General features: G+C 41.0%; 1 protein-coding gene across 12 annotated transcripts in view, besides 1 other annotated feature; it reads left to right on the forward strand.

Annotated features, from left to right (window-relative positions):
- The window catches only part of OSMR (oncostatin M receptor), a 99,568-nt gene that overhangs the window by 78,594 nt on the left and 9,347 nt on the right, over positions 1–11,627 (forward strand). For 6 of the 12 annotated variants that reach the window (XM_005248384.1, NM_003999.3, NM_001323506.2 and 3 more), the window contains exons 15-18: positions 599–766; positions 7,278–7,359; positions 7,858–7,930; positions 8,267–11,036. In XM_005248384.1, coding sequence (XP_005248441.1) covers positions 599–766; positions 7,278–7,359; positions 7,858–7,930; positions 8,267–8,839 — 896 coding nt within the window. In that variant the 3' untranslated portion in view covers positions 8,840–11,036. Of the gene's footprint in view, positions 1–598; positions 767–7,277; positions 7,360–7,857; positions 7,931–8,266; positions 11,037–11,627 lie in introns of those variants that run through there. The other 6 variants (XR_925661.1, XR_007058659.1, XR_007058660.1 and 3 more) reach the window with 1 other exon arrangement.
- Positions 8,852–9,021: an enhancer, noted in NCBI's record as "experimental_84767 CRE fragment used in MPRA reporter constructs". NCBI's record gives its function as "activates a minimal promoter by MPRAs in K562 erythroleukemia cells, with activity observed for the introgressed 5:38933644 variant allele {active_cell/tissue: K562}" and the evidence as "EXISTENCE:reporter gene assay evidence [ECO:0000049][PMID:34662402]".

The raw sequence follows: 11,627 nt of genomic DNA on the forward strand, positions 1-11,627 counted from the left end.
TTTTTAATTTGTTTATTTATTCTTTCAAGATCTCATTATTTGAAATCATTTAAAATAATGGCTGCCATCTCAGACTGTGGCCAGGCTGAATTCCCTTCTTGCATGGCTTTATACTGGAAAGGTGTTCTTAAGCAAATTAGTAGGGTGAGCAAGATGGTGGGGGCAGGGCAGCATTTTAACTTACTTAAAAAACAATATGACTTGGTATTTTTAGAAGCATCTGAAACACCACCAGCTCCTTAAGAAAGCCTGGCCTTTATGAAACTTTCCTCTTTTTTTTTTCACTTTATTGAGCATTGTTCCAATTTATTTTTAAGCCCCTTGCAAGCTCTTACTGTTTCTTGCAGATTTGTATGCTTTGGCTGGATCACTAGTACCCCTTGTTCAGTGGATTTTTTGCTTTTTGTGCCATCTCCTGACCATTTTACCTGGTGTGCCCATGGTGATGAAATTATGATTTGATTTTTGTTTGGTATAAACATGTTGGTGGTGCTGAGTTAACAAGAGCATTAGTGTCCAGCTCTCTCACAAGATGTTTACAACACTTTTAATAAAATCTTTTTTTTCCTTGAAAAAAAAACCATTTAAAAAATCACAGATGGTTCAGAATGTTGCAAATACAAAATTGACAACCCGGAAGAAAAGGCATTGATTGTGGACAACCTAAAGCCAGAATCCTTCTATGAGTTTTTCATCACTCCATTCACTAGTGCTGGTGAAGGCCCCAGTGCTACGTTCACGAAGGTCACGACTCCGGATGAACACTGTGAGTTTTCCCAAATCAAAGTTCTTCCCTTAGGAGTTTCTGGGAAACTAACAAATTACAGAAGTGTTGACTTAGGCTTTGTCTAGATCAGGAATTTTCAAACCTTTCTTCTCCCCTTCTCACCTCCCTCTTTCTCTTGATGAAACCCTTTTTGTCACAAAAAAAGGGTTGCACAGACTCTCACTATATAAAACAGATACAAATAGAGGTAATCTGTCTGATTAAGGCCTAAAATCTTCCTTCTGCCTCCCTCAGTGGCCCTTGAGACAATTCTCTGGAACTCAGTCTCACAATCCTGTATGTAGTTTGAAAACACAGATAGCATATTTTAGTGTTGACATCAGAAGAGCCACAAGGCTTCTGTCTAGAGAAGAGTGGTGCTGGTTTTCTCAGCAGAATTGTTCTCTGCAGCTAGCTTTCCTCTGGCTCATTTCCCTCAGCAGCAAACGAATTGGTTCTTGACTCTGTTAGGGCCTCCAGGGGCAATTAGAGATGGGTGCAGTGGGGTGGGAATTGAGCAGGGGAATGGAATACTTGCTCACAAACTCCCTGTTTGCATATTTGGTTGGGAAATGGTGAGGTGGAGAGATAGATCTTTTCAAAAATGCATTTGGCTTGAAAGATGAAGTAAGAAGGAAGGGAGAAAAACAGTAAGAACTGGTTGATGGAAAAATTTATTCTCATGGCAAACCCTGACAACCAATAAACAGGAATGTGGTGAGAGAAAATAGATACTGATGGAAGAAAGAGGAGAAAAGAATATCTTCAGTGAGGGGATCATAGAAGATCCTGGAAGGCACCCATGAAAAGCAAATAGATTCAAAAGGCTTGCCTGAAGTTACCAACTTTCCTTAATGTATGGTGCCCTCACTGAAGCTGCAGCTGTAGAGATGGGCACATCCTGTTGGACTGCTGACCCTGGAGTGCCCTGACTGGTGATTCAGATACACGTGGCTGCAGTGGCAGTGTATTAGTCCGTTCTCACACTACTATAAAGAACTGCCTGAGAGGGGGTAATTTATAAAGGAAAGAGGTTTAATTGACTCACAGTTCCACATGGCTGGGGAGGCCTTAGGAAATTTACAATCATGGCAGAAGGGAAAGCAAACACATCCTTCTTAACATGGCGGAAGGAGAGAGAAGTGAAGTGCTGAGCAAAGGGGAAAAGCCACTTATAAAACCATCAGATCTTGTGAGAACTCACCTACTATCATGAGAACAGCATGGGGGTAACTGCCACCATGATTCAATTACATCCCACGGGGTCCCTCCCAGGACACATGGGGAATATAGGAGCTGAAATATAAGATGAGATTTGGGTGGGGATACTGCCAAACCATATCATTCCACTCCTGGCCCCTTCCAAATCTCATGCCCTCATATTTCAAAACACAATTATGCCTTTCCAACAGTCCCCCAAGGTCTTAGCTCATTCCAGCTTTAACCCAAAAGTCCAAGTCCAAAGTCTAATCTGAGACAAGGCAAATCCCTTCCGCCTATGAGCCTGTAAAATTTAAAGCAAGTTAGTTGTTTCCTAGATACAATGGGAGTACAGGCATTGGGTACATACACCCATTCTAAATGGGAGAAATCGGCCAAAACAAAGGAGCTGCAGGCCCCATGCAAGTTCGAAATCCAATAGGGCAGTCATTAAACCTTAAAGTTCCAAAATGATCTCCTTTGACTCCATGTCTCACATTCAGGTGATGCTGATGCAAGAGATAGGCTCCTGTGGTCTTGGACAGTTCCACCCCTGTGGCTTTGCAGGGTACAGACTCCTTCTGGCTGCTTTCATGGGCTGGCATTGAGTGTCTTGGCTTTTCTAGGCACATGGTGCAAGCTGTTGGTGGATATACCATTCTGGGGTCTAGAGGATGGTGGCCCTCTTCTCACAGCTCCACTAGGCAGTGGGGATTCTCTGTGGGGGCTCCAGCCCCATATTTCCCTTCCACACTGCCCTAGCAGAGGTTCTCCATGAGGGCTCTGCCCCTGCAGCAAACTTCTGCTTGGACATGCAGGCATTTCCATATGTCCTCTGAAATCTAGGCGGAGGTTCCCAAACCTCAATTCTTGACTTCTGTGCACCCACAGGCTCAACATCACATGGAAGCTGCCAAGGCTTGGGGCTTGCACCCTCTGAAGCAATGACCTCTTTTAGCCACAGCTGGAGCTGAAGCAGCTGGGATGTAGGGCACCATGTCCTGAGGCGGCACAGAGCAGGGCAGCCCTGGGCTCAGCCCAGGAAACCATTTTTCCCTACTAGGTGTCTGTGCCTGTGATGGGAGGGGTGGCCATGAAGACCTCTGACATGGCCTGGAGACATTTTCTCCATTGCCTTAATGATTAACATTTGGCACATTTTTCAGATACACGTGGCTGTAAATATGCATTATTTATGCATATTTCTGCAGCTGGCTTGAATTTCTCTTCAAACAATGGGTTTTTCTTTAGTATTGCATGATCAGGTTGCAAATTTTCTAAACTTTTTTGCTCTGCTTCCTCTTGAATGCTTTTCTCTGTAGAAATTTCTTCTGCCAGATACCCTAAATCATCTGTCTCAAGTTCAACGTTCCACAGATCTCTAGGGCAGGGGCAAAATGCCACCAGTCTCTTTGCTAAAGCATAACAAGAGTCACCTTTGCTCCAGTTCCCAACAAGTTCCTCATCTCCATCTGAGCCTGGACTTCCACCTCAGCCTGGACTTCATTGTTCATATCACTATCAGCATTTTGGTCATATCCATTCAACAAGCCTCTAGGAAGTTCCAAACTTTCCAACATCTTCCTGTCTTCTGAGCCCTCCAAGTCTCTAAGAAGTTCCAAACTTTCCCACATCTTCCTCTCTTCTTCTGAGCCCTCCAAACTGTTCCAGCCTCTGCCTGATACCCAGTTCCAAAGTCGCTTCCACATTTTCGGGTATCCTTATAAGCAGCACCCCACTCCCTCAGTACCAATTTACTGTATCAGCCCATTCTCCACTGCTATAAAGAACTGCCCGATACTGGGTAATTTATAAAGGAAACAGGTTTAAGTGGCTCACGGTTCTGCATGGCTGAGGAGGCCTCACGAAACTTATAATTATGGCAGGAGGAGAAGCAAACACATGCTTCTTCACATGGCGGCAGGAGAGAGAAGTGCCGAGCAAAGGGGGAAAAGCCCCTTATAAAACCATCAGATCTTGTGGGAACTCACTATCACAAGAACAGCAGCATGGGGGTAGCCACCCCCATGATTCAATTGCCTCCCACCAGGTCCCTCCCATGACACGTAGGGATTATGGGAGCTACAATTTGAGATGAAATTTGGGTGGGGACACAGCCAAACCATATCAGACAGGTTGTGGTGCTGACTGCATGTTGACTACTACACTGAAACATGTCCCTAGGTTTCCAAACCAAAATCCAGAACCCCTTATCTGATTAAGATGTGTCAGTGATTTACATTATTTGAGCACTCTTGGCATGTTGGAGTTAATTTTAAATTTATTTTCAGGTTAGTTTTATTCGACCTTTGGAATTTACTTGGTATACACACACACACATGTGCACACACACACTTATCTTTAAATATGTATTTTCTAAGTCTCATTCATCTCCCTTATGTTAAACTTCATTAGCCCTGGCTTGGCTTGTGACTATTGATTATATTATTATTTGAAAGAAAATATTTGAAATATTTGCAACTTTCCTGAGATTTTACTTTTTTTAAAAAAAATAGGTATACTATTATGTGACTAGCATCCAATTAACTGTACCTCAGATATTGTTAGATGGGAGTAAAAAATACCTGTATGTGCTACAATGAGGCTAGGATGATTAAACAGTAAAAACAAACAAGCAAAAAACAGAAATGCAAAAAATTGATGTAATGTTGACATTGCAAAATAGTGAATAAATGTTTATTCTGTTGGTATTTTTCAAAATAATCCTTTCTCTTTGTAAATTGGTTTGTTAACTTTTTCTCGGATTAGGAGACAGAGAGGGTAAACAGTTTGTTTAAACATATGGGGTATCCAGACCAACTGTAATTTGTGTTTTTATATTTGGACATTTGGCACTACATTTCCTTCTGAATTTAATAGGCATTACTGAATCACTTTTCAATCCTGAGTATGGAAGTAGATTATGTTCCAAAAGTTTGTGTTTAAAATTAGCCTGAAAATAGCTGAAATGAAAAAGATGAAAAATACCAAGTGTTGATGAGGATGTAGAAAAACTGGAACTCCCATACCTTGCTGGTGGGAGTAAATTGGTACAAGCAATTTTGGAAAACTCCTTGGTAGTATCTTCTAAAATGAGCATATATATACCTTAGATGTGAGAGCCTTCATTCCTAGGTATATATGCCCCCAAAATGCCTACATAAACCCTAAAGAAATACCTAAAGATGTGTACTAATACAGTGATTGTGAAAGGAAAATAAAATTCACTATGCAAAGGAAAAAAATAAGCTGAAAGCTGGTTCATGCAAGAAGCTGCAATTCATTTTGCTTCTAAGCAGATAGGTACAGTAAAAGTTAAATATCTCCACAGGTAGCTACTCTATATTTACCTTATCTTAGCCTCTCCTGGGAGATGAATACATGATTAACTATTCTCCTGTCTCCTCGTTTTCTCTTGTGACATGTGGATAATCATACTCTCCCTTACAGCCCACTTTTCCTCCAGCCCTTTCTCCTCCAGCCCACTTTTCCCCTTTAACATTATCTTTGGAGAAAGGCACAGACCACATAATGTTTCTATGATTCTGTTTATTTCTTCCAGTCATATCCTTCACGTTGGCAAAAGAAAATTCTAAATTGGTGGAGACCTGTCTCAGATACTTTTTGGTTTACATCATCAAAAGTACTGTTCTTGAGAGCAAGGTTTTCCATAGTAAGATTCATAAAGAGAGTTTCTTTCCCCTTTTCCAGGGTCAGGGTTAATTTTAGGCCAGTTTTGGCCCTCTCTTACCTTCGTGGGTCCTTTTCCCTAGAACCCTGTGTTGCCTCATAGCACGGGCTTGTGCATCTACCCAGGGCCACTTTTCTTTACAAAACTCCAACATTATCTGCCACACCACTGTCCCCAAATCAAGCCCCATTTCTTCCAGGACAGCCAGATGTGAGGTGGAGCATGGGGAGGGCAGGGGAGGCAAATGGATTGAACAGAATCATATGTAGATGTGAATAACTTAACCCCCTAAACCCTCCCTGAGCAATTTACATTTGTGAAAAGGGATGTTTACCAACCCAGCTGAATTATTATTTGGTGGAAATTGCAAGCAATGGGAACAGGAAGATAGTGTCAGTCTAATAACAGAGAGATACTCTCTGAAAGAAAAGATGTTTATTTGGGACTGAGCATTGTAATGGAAATACTTATGCCAAAATAAACTATAGTAAACTATGTGCATATTCAGGGAGGTAAAGGAAGACAAAGGTTTTTAAAGGAAAAAAAATGAGGAGGATTATATAATTGTTTTGAAATAATTATTCTTGACTACAAAGATTAATAATAAGGGTGATGCCAGTTCAAGGTTTAATGGGAAGATGCCCTTGCAGAAGCATTTTGTGTGTGTGTGTGTGTGTGTGTGTGTGTGTGTGTGTGTGTGTGTAAGGTTGTGATGGCCTTTGTGCAAGGTTGTGGTTTTCGTAGTGTTTTTTGTTATCTGCGTGGCCTTCCCAGCTCTATTTGTCAGGGTTTCCTACCATTAGTGATTACATTTTGGTTCTAACAGATTTCACAATGGTCATTTGAAATAAATGAAGCACCAGTTGACATATTGGAGAAATAAACGTAATCATTTTCCCAGATTAAGACATATTTATGTAATCTGAGGCTAACTAGAAGGAGTGCACTAGTCAATTTTTGATGTGTAACAAACACCCTCAAAAGCTCCGTGGCATACAAGAACAAATCTATCTTTTTATGCTCATGGGTTTACAGGTCAGCCGAGACTTGGCTGATCTAGACTGGGGTAAGCTGGACTCCAAGCTTCAGTCAGGTTCAGATTTGTTTCACGCATCTTCATTCTAGGGCTAAGGCTGAAGTCGCAGCAGCTACCTGGGGCACACACTTCTCATGCTGAGGAACACAAGAGGGCAAGCCGATGTATGCATGCACATTTAAAGCACTTACGTTACAATTACCAACAGCCCATTGGCCAAGCCAATGCACATGGCTGAGCCCCAAGTCAAGGGGCAGGATAGTATTCTCACCTACCATGAAGTTTTGGCAGGGGTGGAAAAGCATAATTTTAATACAGCAAGTCATGATCCAATCTATCAGAAGAGATAGATAGTAACAAATTTGAGACACACGGTGTTGATGGCAAATGGCTTCCTGTGTTGGTTGGCTAGTTGGTTGGTTGGCTTTTCCCCTGAAGTCAGGCAGAATTCATATTACAACTTGCATACATAATTTGAGAAATAATAAACATGTAAAATTACTTTCAATCATAAACTTGTATTTATTCCTTTGAGGAAGGGAAAAGTACTTATTAAAAATGTCCCTTTCTTTTTCCTCGTTCAGCCTCGATGCTGATTCATATCCTACTGCCCATGGTTTTCTGCGTCTTGCTCATCATGGTCATGTGCTACTTGAAAAGTCAGTGGTAAGTGTGTGAGGAAGGTTTTATCCAAGAAGAGAGTAAGAGAAAAGTCTGGAAAGAGATTTAGTAAGATAGAAATGACATTGAATAATATGAAACAACGTATAAAAAAGGAAAAGAACAAAGGAGGCTGGGGTGAGAGTATGTAATTTATTTCACAATTTTGTTTTCCAAGTGGCTATATGAGGAAACTAATCACCATTTAAAATAGACCACAAAATTTTTTCAACAGCAATAGCTAATATTTATATCTCTCTTACTGTATGTTTGGCAATGTTCTAAGTGCTTTATCAATTAATTCATTTAATCCTCATGGGGACACTATAAGTACCATAATTATCTCCATTTAGCCATAAGAAATTAAAGCATGGAAGAATTAAGTAACTTGCTTAATAAGTTACAACGCAAGGATTAGAAGCCAGGAATCTGACTCCAGAGTTCTTGCTCTTAACTCGTCCACTGTACTGTGAAATTCAGTCTCATTTTCGCTTTTTTTTCTAGGATCAAGGAGACCTGTTATCCTGACATCCCTGACCCTTACAAGAGCAGCATCCTGTCATTAATAAAATTCAAGGTAAATGTTGGCAAATTGTATGTATACCATATACCTATTAAGGACTAACCCAGAGTGGGGGCTGTCAGAATCCTACTTTCCTAGAGCTCCTCAGGAAAATATAGCACAGTAAAAGCCATCTTTGCACCCACAGCCATGAAATAGGTGATTGGAGCTTTGATTTCTTCTGTCAGGGGAAATCTTTTGGTTTTCAACATCACCTCCAGGTTACTTGTGACCAGGAAGAAACATGAAGAACATTGAAGCTCTAAGTGTATTTCACATGCTTAATATACTTTGATGCATGCATGCACACACACAAATGTCTATATTTACATATTTTTGTTTCCTTTCTAGGAGAACCCTCACCTAATAATAATGAATGTCAGTGACTGTATCCCAGATGCTATTGAAGTTGTAAGCAAGCCAGAAGGGACAAAGATACAGTTCCTAGGCACTAGGAAGTCACTCACAGAAACCGAGTTGACTAAGCCTAACTACCTTTATCTCCTTCCAACAGAAAAGAATCACTCTGGCCCTGGCCCCTGCATCTGTTTTGAGAACTTGACCTATAACCAGGCAGCTTCTGACTCTGGCTCTTGTGGCCATGTTCCAGTATCCCCAAAAGCCCCAAGTATGCTGGGACTAATGACCTCACCTGAAAATGTACTAAAGGCACTAGAAAAAAACTACATGAACTCCCTGGGAGAAATCCCAGCTGGAGAAACAAGTTTGAATTATGTGTCCCAGTTGGCTTCACCCATGTTTGGAGACAAGGACAGTCTCCCAACAAACCCAGTAGAGGCACCACACTGTTCAGAGTATAAAATGCAAATGGCAGTCTCCCTGCGTCTTGCCTTGCCTCCCCCGACCGAGAATAGCAGCCTCTCCTCAATTACCCTTTTAGATCCAGGTGAACACTACTGCTAACCAGCATGCCGATTTCATACCTTATGCTACACAGACATTAAGAAGAGCAGAGCTGGCACCCTGTCATCACCAGTGGCCTTGGTCCTTAATCCCAGTACGATTTGCAGGTCTGGTTTATATAAGACCACTACAGTCTGGCTAGGTTAAAGGCCAGAGGCTATGGAACTTAACACTCCCCATTGGAGCAAGCTTGCCCTAGAGACGGCAGGATCATGGGAGCATGCTTACCTTCTGCTGTTTGTTCCAGGCTCACCTTTAGAACAGGAGACTTGAGCTTGACCTAAGGATATGCATTAACCACTCTACAGACTCCCACTCAGTACTGTACAGGGTGGCTGTGGTCCTAGAAGTTCAGTTTTTACTGAGGAAATATTTCCATTAACAGCAATTATTATATTGAAGGCTTTAATAAAGGCCACAGGAGACATTACTATAGCATAGATTGTCAAATGTAAATTTACTGAGCGTGTTTTATAAAAAACTCACAGGTGTTTGAGGCCAAAACAGATTTTAGACTTACCTTGAACGGATAAGAATCTATAGTTCACTGACACAGTAAAATTAACTCTGTGGGTGGGGGCGGGGGGCATAGCTCTAATCTAATATATAAAATGTGTGATGAATCAACAAGATTTCCACAATTCTTCTGTCAAGCTTACTACAGTGAAAGAATGGGATTGGCAAGTAACTTCTGACTTACTGTCAGTTGTACTTCTGCTCCATAGACATCAGTATTCTGCCATCATTTTTGATGACTACCTCAGAACATAAAAAGGAACGTATATCACATAATTCCAGTCACAGTTTTTGGTTCCTCTTTTCTTTCAAGAACTATATATAAATGACCTGTTTTCACTTAGCATCCTTTGGACTCTGCAGTAGGTTGTCTGGGTCAAGATAACTCTCAGTCACATTTATATTCATATTATGCTAAAATAGTAAAATGAAACCTCATTGTTGGACATAATTTAGATATAACTAAAAAGTTCTATGAAGTGGGAAATTCCGTGTTGGCTCTGGAGCAGCTTTGTCTCCTCTGAACCAATATATCCCAAACCAATATATGCAAAGCACCTGGTACACAACTGGTATTTTAGTACATGTTGGTTCTTTTGGTGCAATCTCAGCTCACTGCAGCTTCCGCCTCCTAGATTCAAACAAACAGTTCTCCTGCCCCAGCCTCCAGAGCACCTAGGACTCCAGGTGCATGCTACCACACCTGACTAGTTTTTATATTTTTAGTAGAGATTGGGTTTTACCATATTGGCCAGGCTGGTCTCAAACTCCTGACCGCAGGTGATCCACCTGCCTCAGCTTCCCCAAGGGCTGGGATTACAGGTGTGAGCCACCATGCCCAGCCTATTTGTCACATTATTTGTCACATTTATTTTACTTTTATTTATTTTTTGAGATGAAATTTCGCTCTTGTTGCCCAGGCTGGAGTGCAATGGTGCAGCCTTGGCTCACTGCAACCTCCGCCTCCCAGGGTCAAGCAATTCTCCTGCCTCAGCCTCCTGAGTAGCTGGGATTACAGGCATGCACCACCACACCCAGGTAATTTTGTATCTTTAGTAGAGATGGGGTTTCACCATGTTGGTCAGGCTGTTCTCGAACTCCTGACCTCAGGTGATCTGCCTGCCTTGGCCTCCCAAAGTGCTGGGATTACAGGCGTGAGCCACTGCGCCTAGCCGTCACATTTCTAAACAAGCATGAAAGGGGTTCATTTTTGTCTTCTTCTTGCCTGCCGTCAGCATGGTGGAAATGGCTCTGCCTATGCTCATGCTTCTGGTGCCCAATGCCTTGCACTGTGCCATTCAACACTATGAAGAGAAACAAGTAGCCACACCTCAAAATAATGTGGCTGTCAACAACTGGCCTAAATAAACCTACACAAACCAGTACTTGCCTTTTGCTGGAAACATTGATTATGTGCTCCTCACGTAGTAGAAAGCGGTATCCTGATTAGTCTAACAGTTGTGTTAGACTTTAGGGCCAGTATTGTCAGCATTTATTTATTTATGTACCTTTGTTATGATGGGATATTTTTCATTTGAAACTTGTTCATAAAAATGTCAATGACATTGATGACTGATTTGTACATATTTTTCATATAGTTTTGTTTAAAAAATAATTCACGCAAAATCTTGAAGTCATTTTTGCTATTGAAATAAACCTTAATTAAAATATTTCATCATCACATTGTGTTTTATCTCCCTCAATGAAATGAAAATCTAGTAATTACTCAGTTTAGATGATACATCACCTCATGAACTTACTAAATAAAAATGTAAATTCCTGGGTATGACTACAAACCTCTTAATCAGAATCTTTGGGGCATGGACCTGGAATCTATTTTTTATCATCAGTTCCCAGGCATTCATCTACACACTAAACTTTGAGAATCACTCGCCTAAATCAAATGAAGTCTTTCTGAAATATAACAACATGCCAATAGGAAATGCTGGGCTCTGTAACATTTGTCTTCATAGTATCACTATGACCTGTAGTCTTGGCTGTAAACATTTCGTCTCCAATGGTCATAACCAAATAAATTCACGTTCAAAACCTTAGTTTTCAATACTATATGCCATCTTAACATGGCTTTAGGAAGTGCTATTCAGAAACTTTGAAATAATACATATTCATGTGTCAGGAAAATAATAATGGACAATTTCAAATAAATATATACACAAAAGTAGAATAGTTTAATAAACCACTATGTATCATCACTAGCCCCAATGGTCACTACCCATGACTGTTTCAGCTCCATCCACACCCCTGTTCGCTT

The sequence above is a fragment of the Homo sapiens genome, chromosome 5, assembly GCF_000001405.40.
Source record: "Homo sapiens chromosome 5, GRCh38.p14 Primary Assembly".
In the NCBI taxonomy this organism is placed as follows: domain Eukaryota; kingdom Metazoa; phylum Chordata; class Mammalia; order Primates; family Hominidae; genus Homo; species Homo sapiens.